Here is a 20,765-nt window from a genome sequence, read left to right on the forward strand (position 1 = left end):
CCACCAGGAACATCATTTTCCATGAAGCACATTTTTGGCCAACAGGACACAGGCCTCTTCTGCCATCCCCACCTGGGTTTCTGCCTGCATGAGAGTATCAGCCACGCGTTACAGCTGTGCCCACTGCGACCTCATCTTCCCCTGCAGAGGGCAAAGGCACTCCACATGTATCGTCATTTCCTGGCCTCAAGTGCCCAAAGAATGAGTTAATGAATGAAGTCCACAAATAGGGCTCACAAAAGGCACTCCTCAGAGGGTATGGGAAGTATAAAAATGGTCGCTTCTCCCAGACAGACCTTATTTTCTCTGAACCGACCAAAAACCAAAATCCAGAAATCAAACTGCGATACTGGAAAACACAGCAAACTTGAAATTTAAGTCTTAATGCAAACAACAGAAAATGCTGTGAAATTTCTTTGCATCTCTGAGCTCACCGGTGTCTCCTAATTCCATCCCTTTCAACCCGCGATGGCCTCTGGCCACAGAATTTTGGAGAAGAGGTTCAAAACTCATACATACTCTCACATCTACTGTATGCCGGCCGAGGCCAAAGAATTCTGCTGTTTGTTGATTACATTTTTTCATTTTATCTTGACAACCACACACTGGCATCATTTCCATCTATACAAGAGGAAACGGAAGCTATGAGAACTTAATAAATTTCCCCTAAGTCACAGAGCAAGTGGGTGGTGATTAATTTCAACATGGATCTGTGTAGGTCTGGATCCCACAAGGCAGCTCAGGGAAGTGTCTAAGGGAACAAATGGGACCAAGCCTCGCAACAGGCACAAAGCCTGATTGAGCACTTTCTAGTGTGGCATAGTTACCTTAATGGACAGCAAGGTCAACACAGCAATCAGAACAGTCTACCTTGGCCAGGTGCAGTGGCTCCTTCCAGTAATTCCAGTGCTTTGGGAGGCCAAAGCAGGAGGTTAACTTGAAGCCAGGAGTTTGAGACCAGCATGGGCAACATAGCAAAACCCCATCTCTACAGAAAATAAAAAGATTAGCCCGGCATGGTGGTGCATGTCTATAGTCCTAGTTACTTAGGAGGCTGAGGTGAGAGGATGGCCTGAGCCCAGGAGTTCAAGGCTGCAGTGAGTTATGACTATGCCACTGTACTCCAGCCTGGGTGACAGAGCAAGACCCTGTCTCTAAAATAAAAAAAAATTAATTAATTTAAAAAAGAATAACTTGCACACAGGGCTATACTATTGGCTAGATGATCATAGTGTTTCTAAAAGTGGGAATAGATGAGAAGCCTACTAAATTTCTACTTGATGTGTATAAGTGGAAAAGTTCTAGGTCAAGTGAACAAAAGTCTAATATGAATCATAAAAACAGTCATGGTCCCTCAACCAATCCTCAGACTTGAGAGTCAGTTTATAGTGAGTTTACACTGGCTCAACTAGAATGAAAGGAAGGCTGGGTCACTTTGAAATAGGACCCTGGTACACTGCCAGAAATGTATTCTGTTAATCTTTCTCCCAGCCTTCCCCAAGAAGACCTATGTACAACCTTTTACCAGGGTAACTGTGCACTGGGGAAAAAGGAATAATGAGATGTTTTGGGAACTAATGGACAATGGCTCTGAACTAACACTAATTTCAGAATACTCAAAACATCACTGTGGCCTCAGTTAGTAGGGACTTATGGAGGCCAGGTGATCTATGAAGTTTGTTTTTTGTTTGTTTGTTTGTTTGTTTGTTTGTTTTTTGACATGGAGTTTCGCTCTTGTTGCCCAGGCTGGAGTGCAATGGTGCGATCTCAGCTCACCACAGCCTCCGTCTCTCAGCCTCAAGCGATTCTCCTGCCTCAGCCTCCCGAGTATCTGGGATTACAGGCATATGCCACCACGCCTGGCTAATTTTGTATTTTTAGTAGAGAAGGGATTTCTCCATGTTGGTCAGGCTGGTCTCGAACTCTTGACCTCAGGTGATTCACCCACCTTGGCCTCCCAAAGTGTCGGGATTACAGGTGTGAGCCACCGCACCTGGCCTGATCTATGAAGTTTTAGTTCAGGTCCACCTCACAGTGGACCCAGTGGGTCCCACACCTCAGCCTATGGACATTTCTTAAGTTCTGGAATGAATAATTGGAATAGGTATGCTCAGCAACTGCCAAGTTCTCCACACTGGGGAAGCAAGGAGTTGTTTGGTTATTGTACTTGTATTGAGGGAGAAAGGGGATATGAAAGGTCTGAGAACGTGGTTCCAAAGGCCTGAATATGCTCCATTTCCAGAGTGAACTGAGAACACTTAAGTTGGGGTTTTACCATGTGTGTGCTACTTGGCTTATAAGAAATGGGCTCAGCTCTGCACTTGAACATCAGGATAAATTGTTCCAGAGATGAAGAGCCAAGACACTATCAAGTTTCAATTGCTAGCTGAAACCCCTGATAACTGCTAGAAAAATAATATGCAATTATAGTCTAGAAACGTATATTATCAAGGCCACGGTGCTCTCAGAATGTAATAAACGAAATGTGGGTAACCACACATGTGGTAAAAATCCCAACCCCCAATGTGTATCACAGATGCCTCGTCACCCACAGGCACTGGGGAGGGAGGGAGGAAAAAACAGACGCTTCAAATTCAACACTGGCTGAACCGTGGATGAAGGGACAAAAAGCCAAGAAACGTTTTCTATGTTCTTTCCAGTTATGGTCTTCAAATGTCTATGCCCTGTAGGCTCTTGGGTGACTAGTAGAGAATTATAAGTAGACAAGCAAGTAAGAATACTTCTGCAGAGAGTAATGCAATGACAAAATGTTGGTTTCTTCTTCTGTAATGTTCGTTATATCTAGAGTGGATTTTGGCACAGTGGAATGACACTAAGGCAGTAACTGTTGCCTCCTAGGGTTAGGGCATTGCATGGCCGTGTGCCTCTCCAACACCCAGAGGCTCCTCAACAAGTGACCTTGGGTCTTCAGCAAAATTGAGGACAGCGAGAGTTACATGCCAGGCATCCCTAAATACAATATCCCCAGGGCCCTTACTCAAAGACGAAGGAACCATTTTAAAGGACTGTTAAAAGGACACAGTGCTCACATACATGGAAAATAGTGCTTCTGTCTGCAGACATACACTGAGTACTTCTTATGGGCTCAGCCTGGGAACACCTGCCGTGAGCCCTCCAGGCTACTAAGAGAGAAGGACATGAAACAGAGTGTGAAAGCACAATCAATGCCAGCAGAGGGAAGCACTTCATGTGTCCAAGGAGCAAATGCTAGAAGTCACGGAAGGTTCTCAGAGGAGGTGACCATCCACACATATCATATGGTCCAGGCACTTCACTCACAAAGGAAGCCAGAGGCCTCTATCTCCCAGCCCACCAAACTGCCAGACACCTCTGGCATGACTTCTCTTTTGCTTGGTGTTTCCCCTTAATATTCACTTCAACCCGATTTCACCTGATTAGGAATTCTGGGGTCTTATGCTCACTTGTAAGGGAAGAAACATGAGCCCACCTTATCCCTCACTGCTGGCTTCTGAGCAGTACTTGAACACGGGCCCCAGGGAGCAGGGTGCCTCAAGGAAAGCCCCCCAAAAACGAATTCTCCTGGTGTCTCTGAGTCTTTATGTCCCTGAAAACAATTCCCTATTTTGGCAGTCATGAACTAGTTTCTCCCCTGTACATGCGCTGTCTCCTGCTGCAGGGGGCAAAATAAGTAAAATCTACAGAGGGGCTTCTCATCTCCCCTCCTCATCAGGCCAGGCTAACCCACCCACTCAGAACCCCTGCCTGTCCCCGAACCTCATCTGGGACTTATGGAACAAGATTTTTATTAAACGGTGACAAAGATGAAAAGTAAAATATCAGAGACACACAGAGAGTGAGCCACAGATCTGAGAAAACAGCTGCATATGAAAGGATTAGAAAATAAATGAAAAAAGTAACTCAAAGGATTTAGAATCCATTTTGGGTGCACTGAAAGAAAATCCCCCCAGTATTGGGAGAACAGATCCAGGTTCAAACCTGGGCGATAAGGAGGTTCCATCCTCTTCTGGTTGCCTCATTAGGTGGTACCTTGAGGTTTATAATTTTTTTTAGTCACCACTTTGTAGGATGATGCTTCTTGAAAGAAAAGAAAAGTGAAGTCTGGGACCACGTGCACTGGGATCACCTGAGAGGCTGCTAAAAATGCTGTTTCCTGGGTCCCCAGTGATTCTTAAGCATTCTGAAGTCTGAGAACCACAGAACTAGGTACTTCATCATTCCTAAGTGGTTGCATTACCCATGCTAAATCACTCCTTTAAATTGCTGTTTAAAATTTAAAGAAGACACTAGTGGCTAAATTGATTCTTTTAGAAATGGTTAGATTCTAACAGGAGTGATTGTACAGTCACATTGTGACCAATTTTAAATGATGTAAAATTTACAGGTTGAAGCCAGAAGGATCTTTTCAAAGCATAAATCAGATCACGTCACTCCCTTGGGTAAAACTCTTCAGTCACTTCCCTTTGCCCTTTTGATAAAAGCTCAGCCCCATGATCCCAATCAGGCCTCCTCTCCAGTCTAATCCACGCTGGAGTGCTCCCTGCCTCAGGCACTCTGCTCCCCAGTTCCTGCAACATCCAAGGTCAGCCTTTTACACAGCCTTCATGTGCTAGTTGTCTGTACCCAGTAAAATTCTTTCACCCTCCTCCCTGACCTCCCTGACTACATTAATCTCCCTGTTGTAGGCGCCCTGAGCATCAGTAACTCCCCCTTCAACAGCCCTTAGCAGAGTTTAAACATCACACTTATTTGTGTGATCCTTTGATCAATGCAAACTTCCTCCTCTAATGTATAAGCAGCCCAGCCCATGAAATCAACAGGCCTATTTTTCTCTTGGAAGGAGGCTCACCATTGTTTATGGATCACCTAGTACACCACATGGTACACAGCAGGCGCTCAATAAATATTTGTGAATTAACAAATGAATATTTCCGTTTGGTCCAAGTGCCGAGGTGTTTACAACTAATTGATCTTAACCATTTACAGATTTCTTTGTTCCTTCTCCACTCCCACTACTTCACTTGACTAGCCTTGAAAAAGAAAAAGAAGAAAAATAAAGAATATTTCCAAATCAAATGCTGGAACAAATCCAGGCACACAGTAGCAATTAAGAATTTAAAATACTCCTATCCCTTTCCTGAAAGTTAAAGGCAGCAGTCTCTTCCCAGCCAAGGACTAAAGTCCTAGGGTGGTTTCCACCCCCTGCATACGATCCAATACTCTTCAAAGCACTTATCACTTCTAATGGATGGACCAAACTATTCCTAATACAACTTCTGGATTTCGAAAGGGTGAAACTCAACATTAAAACTACTGTTATGCCATTTCTCTGTGCCTTGCTTTGATCTAGTCATAAAAAATTGTCTTAAAGATATATGTTGAGATAAAAACAAATCTGAGAATTTTCACAACTTCTTGTATTTTCAGACACCCTCATCTGCCTGTCTTATCATTCCCAGGTCCAGACGCCGAGTCTCAGACTGTTTCATTACACACTTGCACATGCTAGAATGGTTAGCAACACATTTGAAAAGATTCAACATGGCCCTAAACCAGTTGACAATAATTATATGACAACGCTTATGACTGGAAGGATGTCTCACTGGGTATTTAAAGGAATCTCTATTACACGCTCTTCTCTCTACCATCCTTAGCCACAGCTGGGATAATGGTTTGCTGCCCCGACGGTGCTCTTTTACACACTCCTGAGGCAGCAAATCATTCGCCATCCTTCACCAAGTAGCTCAACTCAACACAATGATCCAGTGTAGCAGGTTCAACTGAGGCAAAAGTGATGAAAACTTGGCAGCAGGGGTATGTACCATATGGTATGCTGCAGAAAAGAGGGTATGGTTTTGAGTCTATGTGAAGTTGGGCAGCCAGCTTCCCTGACACCTGAATTCCCTCATCTGTAAAATGGGTACATGTTTGAAATCACTTTTAAGCTGCTAGATATTTTGGTAAGAACATAACTCTCCAGTGAGTTACTGTAGATCTGTATTTCATTATCTAAGTCTTCTTATGGGTCTTTAAACATATATTTACCATTGGATTCTATTTCAAGGTACACACCAATCCTGATATATAGAAAAGAGGCGTTGCTACACAGCGGACACTGTAGTTGCTGAATAACCCATGTTTACCACTCTCCTAGGTAAAATAAAGTGACCAGAAATTTTTCACACTGAAGACTGTATATTTGTCAGGTCCAATGAAGATATGCATACAGCCATTAGACAAGTGATTTTCATGACTATAGTAATGGAAGTCAAGGTGGAGACCAAAAGTTATCACTTTCAAAGCACTAATTTGGAGAAGCAGTTTCTGTTTGGCACATGGCTCTCTGACACCCATACTTCTATCCAGGGCATTTTAGTGTCTAGATGAAGGTTTCTCTCTTTTCAACCCACTCCTTAAAAGCTGTTACTAAGTGACTGTTTAATGGGTACATGAGCTACTGCTTAATGAGCTGGTGTGCCTGTAAGCTAGTTGCTGCCTTTCTGAAGAAGCAATAAGTAGAAAAAGCACCCAAACAAACCGGCCACATCCAGAGAGAGCGATTGGAAATGGAAGCAGGTGGCTTCCACTTAGGTGGCCATAAAATGAATTGTCCAACCCACTGCACTTGGAAAGTGAAAGCTGGTGTAATTGAACGTGCTGGGACAATGGGGCCACACTGGGTCTGTACACTTGGGACTACAGACATTCTTCTTTTATTTTTCTATTTTTATTCCCAGGATAATTTCTAATCTGGTTGACAGCTTGATCATCTGGCTCAGATTAAAGAAGAAAATTTAACAATTTACAACCACCCACCTGCCAATGAACATTTCAACAGTCCCCTACTTGGTGGAAGGTTCCAAACGATTGAAAAAGGGACATTTCCAAAGCATGAATGGACCCATTGAACCTCCTTTATATGCAACATAATCATATGAAACCCAGTTCAACTGAATGAAATTCCTGACAATTGCTCCTTCACTGTTACTCCAATGACATGGGGTTTCTCCCAGGGCCCCTGTGCACCCTTGGACAAATGCAAACAACCTCAAAAGCTGGAATCAAGAAAAGGGAAAGAGCTCCAATGGAGCCATCTCCATTCTCTCCCCTCAAAGTAAAAAAAAATTAATAATACAATAAAACAGTAAAATCTCAGGTTAGTTCAAATGGAACTGGGGATACACATTAGAAGAGCTTTCATTTGAGGACCCTAAATTGCTAACTTCAGTCATTACATCAGTTATTTTAATTCACAGTCAATCATAACTCATCCCCGTCTGTATTTTAACAGTTGGTACTTCTCCTGTACTGGTTTAAGTTTCATTTTTAATTAACAAATAGTAATCATTCATATTTATGAGGTACAATTGGACGTATTGATACATGTATACCTAAGGAATGATCAAATCAGGCTAATGAACATATCTATCACTTCAAATATTTAGCATTCCTTTGTGGTGGGAACATTTAAAATCCCCTCTTTTAGCTGTTTTGAAATATACAATAGGCCGGGCGCGGTGGCTCACGCCTGTAATCCCAGCACTTTGGGAGGCCGAGGCGGGTGGATCATGAGGTCAGGAGATCGAGACCATCCTGGCTAACAAGGTGAAACCCCGTCTCTACTAAAAAAATACAAAAAAAATTAGCCGGGCGCGGTGGCGGGCGCCTGTAGTCCCAGCTACTCGGGAGGCTGAGGCAGGAGAATGGCGTGAACCCGGGAAGCGGAGCTTGCAGTGAGCCGAGATTGCGCCACTGCAGTCCGCAGTCCGGCCTGGGCGACAGAGCGAGACTCCGTCTCAAAAAAAAAAAAAAAAAAAAAAGAAATATACAATATATAATTATTAACTATTGCCACCATGCTGTGTAATAAAATCACCAGAACTTATTCCTCCTGTCTGACTGAAACTTTCTATCTGGGTTTGACCAACATCTCCTCTTTCCCTGCCAACCCCACCTTTCCTCTTGTTTTCTTGAAGAAAAGACATATAAAGCAAACTAATTCTAGTCAAGACTTTAGGAGCAGTTACCTAGGTCACTTGAAGAAAATTAAATACAAAATGCATCTCTTTTTATGATTTCAGCAAGATAGTTTAATAAAGAACCTGAATAGAAACTACTGAATCGGGCCGGGCGCGGTGGCTCATGCCTGTAATCCCAGCACTTTGGGAGGCCGAGGCAGGAGGATCACGAGGTCAGGAGATCGAGACCATCCTGGCTAACACAGTGAAATCCTGTCTCTACTAAAAATACAAAAAAAAAAAAAAAAAAATTAGCCGGGCGTGGTGGCGGGAGCCTGTAGTCCCAGCTACTTCGGAGGCTGGGGCAGGAGAATGGCGTGAACCCGGGAGGCGGAGATTGCAGTGAGCCGAGATCGCGCCACTGCACTCCAGCCTGAGCAACAGAATGAGACTCTGTCTCAAAAAAAAAAACACTACTGAATCAGTGATAATAACCTCAATAATAATAGCAAATCCAACCCAACGCTTTTAGGGTACTCTACTTTACAATCATGATTGCATTTAATCATCTCAGCTACTCGAAGAGGTGGGGACTTATATTACCTACACTTGAAAGATGTGAAAACTGAGGCTAAGGAAGATCACTAACTTACCTGAAGTCACCCATCTGCTGTACTCAACAGGAGATCTGAACCCTCCATTAACAAGTATGTGCTTATGGCGCTTTAAACCTCAAAGACTCCTTCTCCTTTTTCCCAAATCCAATCACTTAGCAAATCATTTAATTTTGTCATCAATATCTACAGGCAAACACGGTGAGTGCTGGCCTCCCCTCCTTTACCTCTGCTCAGACTCTGGCTGGCACCCGCTGGAAGGCGGGGGCTGGACAACCTGTCTCCTAGTTGCATTGGCACAGCAAGCACACTGCTTTGTTTATTTATTCATCTGACCAAGACCATGTATTTATTTGAGCAGGCCTAGCAGGAGCTCCCATCTTTCCTCTGCCCCTCCCTCCAGCTGTACCATCTAATCTATCCTCCAGGTTGCTCTCACTGGAATGCACTGCATCTTTTCCTTGCCTAAAAGCCTTTGGCTTTCCTTTCTGCTGAATCCAAATGCCCAGCTCCTGGGATTGCTGACATAAAGCCCCTTCCAGACTGTCCTCCATCACCCTGATTGCTATATTCCCTGGATGTATCATATTCTTTCTCTTAATACTCAGCTTTCCAGATCTTTCTCAAAAGTCACCTCATTTGTGAACACCTACCTCTGTGATCTGCAATCACGGTAAACATACCTTTAGCATACTGTTATGACTGTCTCTAAACAGATTTGCCTGTTACAGCCCTCCCTACCCCTTCTCCACATATGGAGTGCCCAGGCTACAGCATACAAATTACAAGCAAAGTGGCTGTTGACTGACTTGAATGACTGAATGAAGCATTATGATCAGGGCTATAAGCCCAGCAATAGTTTAGCTTGAAAATATTTATATACATTTTAAGGATAAGCTCAACATCTGTTTTTAAAATATACTACAATTAATAAATAAAGCTTTACTGTGCTTCTCTCATATAAACCCAAGCAAATGTTTCTCAAAAACCTTCAGTTGGAGAATGGACAGTAATTGAGAAAGTAGTTCTAATGAGTCAAAGTCGCTTCCTGGCAGTGGAGTAAGCCTAGAGATGATGGAAACATATTCATTCCTTGACAAAATGTTTAATTTCATGTGATTTGTGCTGACTTACTATAAAAGTGACAGCACTGGAGAAAACAGGATTTAGCAGCTGATATAATTGTTTCTTTGCTTCTAAAGGCCTTTCATTATTAGAGCTGCATGGGTGTGTGTGTGTGTGTGTGTCTTTCTCTCACACACACATATATGTACAAAGCACTTATTATTTAATATATCAAAGAATCGGTCCCACTCCCCCAAACCAAAATTTCTGAGTAGTGGTCACTTCCCAGAGTGGCCCACAATTGGAATAACTGAGGCACAAGTCCACTATAAAAAAATCTAGGGGCCAGGCACAGTGGCTCATGTCTGTAATCACAACACTTTGGGAGGCCAAGGCAGGCGGATCACAAGGTCAGGAGTTCGAGACCAGCCTGGTCAATATGGTGAAACCTTGTCTCCACTACAAATACAAAAATTAGCCAGGTGTGATGGCAGGCACCTGTAGTCCCAGTTACTGGGGAGGCTGAGGCAGAAGAATCACTTGAACCCAAGAGGCAGAGGTTACAGTGAGCCACGATCGTGCCACTGCACTCCAGCCTGGGCAACAGAGCAAGACTCTAGCTCAAAAAAAAAAAAAAGAAAAGAAAAGAAAAAGAAAGAAAAAACAAAGAGGCTGGGTGTGGTGGCTCACACCTGTAATCCCAGCATTTTGGGAGGCTGAGGCGGGTGGATCACGAGGTCAGGAGTTTGAGACAAGCCTGACCAACATGGTGAAACCCCATCTCTAATAAAAATACAAAAATTAGCCAGGCATGGTGGTGGGCATCTGTAATCTCAGTTACTCAGGAGGCTGAGGCAGGAGAATCGCTTGAACTCGGTTGGCAGAGCTTGCAGTGAGCCAAGATCGCGCCACTACACTCCAGCCTGGGTGACAGAGTGAGACTCCATCTCAAAAAAAAAAAAAAATCTAGGAAACTGTGGGGTGGGGAGAGTTGGAGGGGTGGACGGGAGTCAAATAAAAACCAGCCTTACTGAGTGTTATTGGAATTCACTCCTCACTTGACCAAAAATGAGCAATCTGACCAAACTCCTCCACTAGCTCTACCTCCCAAGCCACATGCTTTCTGAGGGCCAAGGGTAAAGCCAGCTGTGGTTACGCATTTGGGCTAAAGAGACCAAAAACAAAAAAAAAATTATTTTGAAATGGATTACTCTTCAAAATTAAGGGTAATTGTGTGTAGCAGCCTGGAAAATACAGCTCATCCAGCTCTGCCACTGAACCCCACAGCACAAAACTCTGGCGTTCTAAATGCAATTCTGAACTGAAAAAAAAAAAAAGACACAAAGGGCGGAAGGAAGGGTGGAGGGTTGCTATAGGGCTGGTGAACTGTAAGAAGGCGGCTGCCTAGGGGAGTCATAGCTAGTCTATAACCCAGCATATTTCTACGGCACTTAAGCCACTCGATGGTGTTCTGGACTACGACAGCAGCCAAGCAGAGAAGGTAAATAAAAGGCTGACAGATAATTACATAAGAAAGTTAACATGGCAAGATTAGGACAGAAATCTAATATACAAAGTGGGAAAGGACTTCGCATAAAGCAGTACCTTGAAGGCTTCTCCCTGACCTGCTACAATGTCCTGGTCGCACTAATGGAATATCAATAACCATTACTATCCAACTAGTCAAGGTGGATTTGACAAGCAAAGGAGGAGGCACTGAACTCACTTAACTCATTCCCACACAGACATTTCCTTTGTCTTGTGACAAAGGCCTCTGAACAAGCCAAGCTGAGCTTTGCTACCCACCTCCCTCATTTCATTTATCTTATTGCCATTATGTAAAGGTTACAGTTAAGGCAGTAACCAGTGGTCAGAATTCAAAACGTTGTTAAGAAACTGAGACAAAAACTCACTAGTTACAGTGTTTTTCAGCCACAGGTACTAGGAAGAAACATGCATGGAAAGGAAACTTGAAAAACATTTGGATTAGAGAAACAACTGCAGTATAAGAGAGAAGAGAGCTAGAAAGGAAACTTGGAGAGCTGGAGGAAAGAAATGAACATAAAGGGTGAGCCCTCTCATTTATTAATACACCACCTTAGACTCTAAGGAATAACCAGTAAGGAGAAAACTGGGGCACTTATAACTGCTGTTGAAAGTCTAGACTATCTGATAACACACAACTGGTCTCACTAACACAGGAAGACAAAGCAGCAGTTCTCAGCTTGGGGACAGGAAAATTGATAGGACAATCTGCAATACCTGGAGACATCTGGGGTTGTCACAAACGACTAATGTACTGGCATTAGTGAACAGAGGCCAGGGAAGGCAGTAAACATTCGACAGTACACAGGACAGCCCTTACAACAAAGGATTATCCAGCCCGAAATGTCAATAGCACTGAGGCTGACACTGCCTGAAATAATGGGTCAGTAAAATGGCCAACAGCCTACAAGTAGAAAAAGAACCGTACAAGTAGCCTCAGCATCGCCCAAAGGAGAAACCATCACGGTCAAAGGACTCCAGTCTCTGGTTTTCTTAGTTGGTATGAATCTATCAACAAGAGAATTAGCAAAAGTTATGAGGAGCTGGAAAACACTGTCAAGTATATTCCCCTTCCAACTGGTTCCTTCCCAGGTGGTTCCATGCTTTTGCCTTCACCATGACTCATCCACAGAGGAAAAATGTTGGCTAAAGAATAAACGCCCATTCTTCTTGGCAAATACTGTTCTCATTTTTTATTAATAAATTGCATTCTAGCTCATATGCTTCAATATCATGAGGTTGGCTGATGGACATACTGTCCCTGAGAGAAGAATCCATTGACTCTCAAAACTAAGGTCAACTTTAGAATGAGATACCCAAAGAGAGGGATTGACTCTGAAGAACTAGGACTCAGTGGCAGCATTGACATCCCTGGATACCATGGCAACCCAGGGCACATCCATCTGCAGGACATACAGGAGTGAAGAGCCTCTCTGGACACCACTGCAGCATAGCTCCACATGGCATCCTGGCCTCAGAGGCTGGCAAGTCCAGTGAACCAACAAAAGAAGGAACTAACCAGTGCAGACATCATGGTGCAGGAGAAAGAAACAACGCAGTAAAACGAGTCAGAAAAGTTGGGTTTAAGGCTCAGATGCACTCTCTAAGTATGCTTGTGACATTTCATTCCTCCAAGCCACATCTGTAAAATGGGATAACAATACTATTCTGACTGTTCTCCATCATTTCCAAAACAGCATCCCCAGAGGAAGGGTGTGTCAGGCCACAGAGAAAAATGTCGCATTGATCCTATGACTCCACCTCCACTGAGAGAATGCTTTATAGGGCTTACCTGATTTTCATTCCCTCAAACCACCATTCCCTATCCAGAGTACAACCCACTGAACACATCTCAGTCCTTAGTCCAGCAAGTTGTGCCTCTCCAGTGTTTTCTACTGAGGAAAGTTTTGTTTTCTACCTTAACTGTTAGAACTAAAACAGTCAAAACTGTAGCCTCAATTCCTAAAATTGAAGTTCCAATAATAATTCTGTTCAGATTCTGGAAATCAGTGTTTGTGGGGGCCCGGAACACTGAGAATCGTCTCCTTCTATTTATACATGTGACTAATTTCTCGACTCAGCACTATGCCAGTTTGTTACTGTAGTTAATTCTGTTTGATGAGCTAGCATTCCTTCTCCCACACGTATTCCTATCTGATACTTAACTGTTCACCCCACCTTAGGCCAATGACCAAATTCTGCTCGTACCGTACCTGCACTTATATTGTAACAGGTTAGAAAATACAGCACTAAGACACAAGTAGTTAATGTAATCAGGAATCATGATATGGCTTTGCAGGCTTTAGTTCTGGCTAATATAGATAAGTTCCAATTGTTAACACTCAAACAACCCAAATTATCCAGGGAAATAAGCATTGCAACCAGTGTGTGCATTGTACATGCAGGCTGGCTTTGCTGAACCTAAAAATGCTGTGCTGGCATACTGGAAGGCTTTCATGGCCACACACATGGTCCTGGGAGCCACACCCTGTGGAATGACTGGCCTTCATGATCCTTTTATTATGGACAGTGCAGAAGTTCTCAGACTCTTTTTTTAAAGAGATGGGGTCTTTTTCTGTCCCCCAACCTGGAGCACCGTGGTGAGATCACAGCTCACTGCAGCCTCAGACTCCTGGACTCAAGCCATTCTCTTGCCTCAGCCTACCAAGTAGCTGGGACTACAGGTGCATGCCATCATACCCAGCTAATTTTTTAACTTTTGAGAGATGTGGTCTCGCTATGTTGCCCAGGCTGAGTTGTCAGCCTTTGACTTTCTTCTTTGGATAGCCAATCCAAGCCCAGGTCAGCTAAAATGCTTCACCTAATCATGCATCCCAGCAGTGTGGCTGCCTCCAGAAGAGATTACAACTGTCTTTGTAATTAGAATCATTCATGTGGGGAACACTAGATGTAAAATATGAAAGGAGAAGTTGAGCAGAGTAAATTTCCAAAGACCTCAAAAGTTCTAAACTAAAACTTGGTGAGAAAAGGGGATAGTCTGTCGATTTTATTCTAAGTAAGGTTAAAGAGTTATTGCAAAGGGAGCTACTGCCTTTCTGCATCACTAAAGTGAAAAGCATGTCACTTGAGTTTCTAGTTCCTCCAAGATGGCAGCATGAGGGCCTAGCGCACTGGCAAGTTCTACAAATAGTGGCATTTTTTTTTTTGAGATGGAGTCTTGCTCTGTCGCCCAGGCTGGAGTGCAGTGGCGCAATCTCAGCTCACTGTAAGCTCTGCCTCCCGGGTTCACTCAATTCTCCTACCTCAGCCTCCAGAGCAGCTGGGACTACAGGCACCCACTACCACGCCCGGCTAATTTTTTTTGTATTTTCAATAGAGACGGGGTTTCACCGCCTTAGCCAGGATGGTCTGGATCTCCTGACCTCGCAATCCACCCGCCTCGGACTCCCAAAGTGCTGGGATTAGAGGCGTGAGCCACCGCGCCCGGCCAATAGTAGCATTTTGAAAAGTTAAGTCAATAGCCGACAGAACTGCATCTGGTTCAACATTTGGAAATAGCATCTCCTGCAGGGGGTTAAACCAACAGTATTTTGTTAAAAGGAGATAGCTAAGTATTTCTTGTAGCCCTCTAGAACGTCGTCATCAGAATCCCTGGCAAGTTGGTTAAAAATGTAGTTTTCCCCAGAATTATTGAAACAGGCTTTTTAAAATCGTTACCTACACTGAGCAATACTTTGACATTAAGACTGGGTGTCTGTTTTATGAAATGCTGTTTTCCACACCACTCTTCTCTTTCACATTTTAAACTGCTGGTCTTGGCCTACTAAAGTGATATCATGATCCGCTCATGGGTTACAGCCGTAAGCTTAAAAAGCACTTCTCTGGTTGACTAGAAGGAACCAGAACTAAAGTTGCACAATTAGTAGCAAACACTCCAGGCTTTGTGATGCAGAGAGGGTTTCTTAATCCACCACGTTTTCCAGATTCAACAGAATGTCTTATAAACCAAACTATCTACTTGGATGGTTTCAGGCACCAAAAAGTGGTTACAAGCTTGAGTTACAAACCTTAATTGTATCCACTGTCTTAGATCTGGAAGGGAAATGTTACCTCCATAGGAATGATCACCTTTAACCCTTGAGCATTAGGCAACCTGATGAAGTAAGCACAGTGTGTGATCAGGTGAGCTCCTTGCCTCACCCCCAGCCACATCCTTCAGCAAAGGCTTCAAAGCCCTTTCCCCACCCGCCCCACCCACTCACACCAAACACCCAAAGGGGTTAAATTACTTTGAAACACTCAAGAGTTAGCTTCTTTTCAATATAGTAATTTAGTAAATGTTCAAGACTTAGCTGCACCTGCAGAACACCTTAATGTTTTCTCACTTTTATTTTTCTTCTCCTAGGCATTTCTCATCTCCCCTGCATCTGCCACACAGCCTCCCTTACAGCCTCCTGTCTTCACTTCCATATTGTAGGAGAGCAGAATGGGACACAGTAGATGCCTCTGACTTCAATCCCCTTACAATCATGCCCTTCCTCCTAGGCTAAAGCAACACAGACTTCTTTAAAAGACCTTCTCCAAGGAGAGTGATGAAACACCAGATCTGGAATGGTTATGTGTCATTAAGTGTACTGGTTATCTAATCTCCCAAGGAATCACCTCTCTGTTCCTTTCTTCAGGCAGAAAAAGGGAGGAGTCTACTCAAGGCAGAACAGAGTCTAAAAGAAGAGTGGCCTGGCATGGGGGAAAGGACAGCGAAAAAAGCAAAAGCCCATTACCTGGGCTTCTCACTTGCACTAATGCTGCAACATTTTCCTGGTATATTTCCCTGGTGGATCTCTCCCAGTATAGCCACCTCTCATTTAGTCAGTCAACAAACACTTATTGAGCACCGACATCATGCTAAGAATCCATCCAGGTTCTGGAGCTGTAAACAAGACAAGGTAGTCACTACCCTCATGGAACTTCTGCTCTAACAGGGAGAGAGACAATACTCAAAATACACCAATGACTGTATAATGCCAGGGAGTAAAAGGTACTAAGACAAAAAACTGAGTAACATAAGAGGCCCAGGGAGTGTCTGGCTGCTATTTTATATGGGGTAGCCAGGGAAGGCCCCCTATAAGCTGACAACTGGACAGAGACCTGAAAGAAGCAGGGGAAGTGAGTCATCTGGACATGTGGGAGAAAAGCTCCTCCTGTAATATCATGGGCAAAGGCCCTAGGGAGAGAACTCAGTGAAAAAGAAGAATGTAAGACGGTGAGGGTGCCTGCAGTTACCAAGGACAGTAAGCATGACCATCACTAGAACTGCCCATCTTCTTGCCCAATGACTGCTCCAGGCCCTGAGTTTCCCCAGACTCCCATCCGGGTCTGCCTCCGAGCCTGCCCCTCCCTGATACCTACCATACTTCTTGTTCTCCAGTTCAGTACCCTCCTGACACAACCCCTCCCCAAGAGTCCCAGCAGTCCAGGTCATTTTCTCAAAATTTACCAACCTAATAAAAACAAACAAAACAGAGTAGAAACAAGGCAGCATGCACATTTAACCACAGCCTTCCAGAGATAGGAAATGTACAATAATAAAGAGTAAAGCTTCAAAAGGTCAGCTATAAGAAAAATTAAAAATATGTGATGTTTCTGCAGGGGATCTGGCCTCCTAACTTACCATTATTTTCCCCCAGATCTGTAAATTATGGGACATTAATGCTTGAAACAACCTTGGAAAGTAGGCATGGAGGTGAGATAATATGAGAACCCTGGCCAGAGGAGACCCCAATAATAGCTGCTGCCGGTTTTTGCAATCTCAAAGTGATTCTGAGAAGGATTATATCCCTCTATGTCCCAAAGTTGCTCGCAGGGTTTTGGTGTGTAAATACAGGTCATTAATTACTTTTATAGAAGCAAAAGAGAAACACTCAGATATTCTTCCATAGCTTCATCCCCAAGTCACTGGCAGCGCCCAACAGGAAGCCTCCGCTTCTGGAGGCCTCAACCCGTCTTAGATTATCTGAAATCTTAACCATAACGAATTAGGCCCGAATCATTCAAGGCCAGCGGTGTTGGGAAGCCCATGATCCAGCGCGGGGGGCATCCCAAATATATTCACTGAGTCTCGGGAGCCGTCCAGGGACTCTCAGAGCTGGGTCACTACCTGGGACCAAGCCTGAGGCTGGTCCTTTAGGTCAAGGCAGGTCCCGACCCGCCTCCAACTTCAAATGGCCCCCTAGGCGGGAGAGGGTCACTGGGCGGGGAGTTCCTGGCTGTGCGGTCACACACACACACACCGACTCACACACACACCCACAACACCCCCCCCACACACACACACTCACACACACACCGACGACACACCACACACACATACATACGCGCGCGCGCACACACCACACACACACACACACACACACACACACACACACGCCGCCTCGCGCGCGCTCGCGGCACAGCACCGACTTCCCAACCCCAAACACACGCGCGCACCCCCGGGACAGCTGAGTTCTGTATTTCCTCTTCCTCAAAGCGACTCCGGCGATCGCAGTCGCCACTCTCCGCTCCGATTCCCGGGCCCCCTGGCATGCCGCCGCCCCCTTCTCTGAAGGCGCGCCCGGTGCGTCCCCTCTCCGAAGCCGAGATTTCCACGAAGCTCCACAAAGCTCCCCGCCGCCTCTCTCGGTCTCGGCGGAGACCCCGGTGTGTCCCCGGGAGGAGAGTATTTACTAACCAGAACCTCAGGGGCTCCCGGCTGCCCAGACCGCCCTCTCCGGCCCTCCTGGCCCCCATTCCTCTGGCCCATCACCGCCCCCTCCCACGAGCGCGCTCGCCGGGGGATTCCCTCCCATCCCCGAGTGCAGGAGAAGACGCCGAGTCTGAGCCGCAGCCGCTTCTCTAGCTCTATAGGAATCTTGACTCCAAGATCCCAGCCCCACATCCCCCGTCCCCAGTAACCCCGCGCCAGCGTCGCAACCCTCCCGCGCCCCCCCTCCCGCAGACCCTGGTCGAAATGTCTCGGCGGGCTCCCGGGCCCCGGGCCCTGCGCTTCATCCGCGGGCGCCGCACCTCCAGCGCCCCCTCCCTCCGCTCCCACTCCCACTCCCGCCATCCCCGGAGCTCAGACTTCCCCAACTGCAGAGCGCCCCGACGCGCCCGCAGCCCTCACCCTGCCGAGCGCGGCGGCCACCCCCGCCCGAGCCGCGGCGCCCCCAGGGAGGAAACAAAAGTGTCTCCGCGGCGCCCGGAGTCCCCCGGAGCAGGACGCCTCCTCCCGGCCCCAGTCCCGGCCCCCTCCCCTGCCGCGCCGAGGTCAGCGAGTCGGGGCGCGGCGCCAGCCCAGGAAACTTTACGAACCTGCTTGGGGTCGCAGGACAGCAGCGGCAAGGGTTCCCGGCGATCAGAGCTCCGGCGACCCGCCACCATTGAAGGGGAACTGGAGGCTCTGTCGCCCAGCGTGGGGCCGCGGCGGCGTGGGTGGCTCTGCCTCTATCCTGTGCCCATCCTCGCCCGCTCCCGCTCGCCCCAGCACACGCACTTACACTCTGGGTCGGCCGGCTGCTGCACCGCCGGCTGCCGCTGCTCTCACTTCCTCTTCCTTCCTCCTGCTGGCCAGAGACACATTTTGCATCTGCAAGGCATCCGGAGATCAGCCGCGAACTCTCCTCCCGAGCGGACGCTGCGGAGTTGCAGCCGCCGCCCCCGGCACCTGCGCCAGGACACTCGTGGTCTGCGCGTTCGCCTTGCGCCCGCACCCTGCCTGGTCCCTGCCCACTGCACTTTGCCTAGGGGGATGCCCACGACTTTTTGAAGTCCCCCTACTTAAAAGACAGAAATGTCAAACACCATGCATGCCTCAGATCTGCTATAAATAATATGTGTGCAGAGCATGACTTCGATGAGCTCACACACGGCGTTTGGAGGCACTAATTAACTCCGTCACCCTCATAGCGCCATCTCCGGGAGGCCAAAAGCGAGTAGCATCTTTTCACATCCTTTTTTAATTTTTGGCAACCGGTTCCGGATATTAAGGGGAAACTTCGGTGGGCTGTTTGAACGCTACTTTAAGACGTGTTTGTTTTGACGCTGTGCCTCTACCCTTGGACAGAGTGGCAAAAAAAAAAAAAAAAAGTTTCCTCCCTCTCCGTCGACATCTATGTATTTACTAACCCTGCAATTGAAACTACAAGATGTATTTCTAACCAATTAAGCCAGGGACTTCCTAATTTTGCATAACTTTGCATAAGGCAAGACGTTCCACCCATAATTTGATATTTAGAATAAATTACTTAATTCATGCAACCTACTTAAATCATTTTCAAAGCAGAAATCAAAAACGTTAACTCCCAGCCTAGCTGGCAGGAGGGAAGAGGGTTGCAGGCGAACCACCTGTCCTCCCCCAGTTCAGAAATACCTACATTGGCTCTACCGGAAAAGTCAAAGGCAGTTCGGCATTTTCTTCTAATTGGCAAAGGAAATAAGTCGGGGGCAGGGAGGCATCAGAATCAAGGTGGAAAACTAAGCTCCCTTTTAAGATCTTCCCCCTCAAGAGCCACAGGCAGCTGTTGAGCACTTGAAATGTGGCTATCCCTGAGATGTTCTGTAAGTGTAAAACAGACATACAATTCAGTATTTTTAAAATGAATGTAAACTAACTTGTTAAGTATGTTTATGTTGATTACATTATTGCAATACATGAGAATAGTCTGATGTAGTAAGTCAGTTGGATTCGTCATGTGTTGGGTTAAGATATAAGCATATATAAGATTAATTTCACCAGTTTCTTTTTACATTTTCTGATGTAGCTACTAGAAAATGTAAGGCTACACATAGGCTCTCATTAGTGGCTCACCTTATACTTTTAATGAACAGCTCTGATCTAACTCCTTATTATACGCATGACTCTGGGAGGCAGTATTAGTATCAAGAGTGCCTGGGTCCAGATGGTTATAAGCCAGTAACTAAAGCAGGGTGACTGCAGGAAAGCAACTTAACTTCTGTATTTCCTCATCTATAAAACAGTAATGATATAATAACAAAAGTCAATAGCACCAACTATTAAATGAAGTAATTTAATAAGTAGTCAGTAAATGGAGCCTTTACTAACGATGCTCTGAGACACTTGTAGTGATAAGTATGAATTTGATCTACAACCTTGTAGCTAAGGCATATAAAGACCTTAACTTTAGTGCATGCGTGGTGAGCACTCAGTAAACATTAGCTGTCATAATTGTTCCCTCCTTGCACAGCAATTATGCAAATCCACTCCCCTGTAACCTTTGGTCCCGGGTCTTCACATCTTTCCTCCATGAAGTAGTCTTTCAGATCTTTGAAGTCAGCCCTCAAATTTTACCTAAACACTCTCTTTTGAGGATTAACCATCCTCAATTATTCTGACTCTTCTTCATGTGACATGGCTTCAAGTCTCTCTCATTTGAGCCATCTTCTCCCAGAAGAATATCTGTCTCTGCCCTTTAAAAAAAAAAAAGAAAAAAGAAAAAAAGAAAAAAAAGTAGTCTTATAGATTAATTACGTAATTAACCATTAGCAAACACAATACAGCCTGAGATCTTCTCTCTCTCTCTCTTTTTTTTTTTTTCTCAAATACATCTCAGTGTTGATAGGAGTG

At 45.3% G+C, this 20,765-nt stretch overlaps 1 protein-coding gene across 10 annotated transcripts in view, besides 2 other annotated features; it reads right to left on the bottom strand.

The window, feature by feature from the left end:
• Positions 1-19,145, bottom strand: part of ELMO1 (engulfment and cell motility 1) — a 596,421-nt gene extending 577,276 nt beyond the window's left edge. For 5 of the 10 annotated variants that reach the window (NM_014800.11, XM_005249919.4, XM_047421086.1 and 2 more), the window contains exon 1: positions 18,494-18,683. The gene's annotated coding sequence lies outside the window, so the exon portion shown is untranslated. Of the gene's footprint in view, positions 1-519; positions 622-18,305; positions 18,398-18,493 lie in introns of those variants that run through there. The other 5 variants (NM_001206480.2, XM_011515654.3, XM_047421091.1 and 2 more) reach the window with 3 other exon arrangements.
• Positions 18,323-18,372: a silencer, noted in NCBI's record as "silent region_18103". NCBI's record gives its function as "represses an Ori minimal core promoter by ATAC-STARR-seq in GM12878 lymphoblastoid cells {active_cell/tissue: GM12878}" and the evidence as "EXISTENCE:reporter gene assay evidence [ECO:0000049][PMID:35858748]".
• Positions 18,383-18,432: a silencer, noted in NCBI's record as "silent region_18104". NCBI's record gives its function as "represses an Ori minimal core promoter by ATAC-STARR-seq in GM12878 lymphoblastoid cells {active_cell/tissue: GM12878}" and the evidence as "EXISTENCE:reporter gene assay evidence [ECO:0000049][PMID:35858748]".
• Positions 19,146-20,765: the final 1,620 nt, after the last annotated feature.

The sequence above is a fragment of the Homo sapiens genome, chromosome 7 (assembly GCF_000001405.40).
Source record: "Homo sapiens chromosome 7, GRCh38.p14 Primary Assembly".
Lineage (NCBI taxonomy): Eukaryota > Metazoa > Chordata > Mammalia > Primates > Hominidae > Homo > Homo sapiens.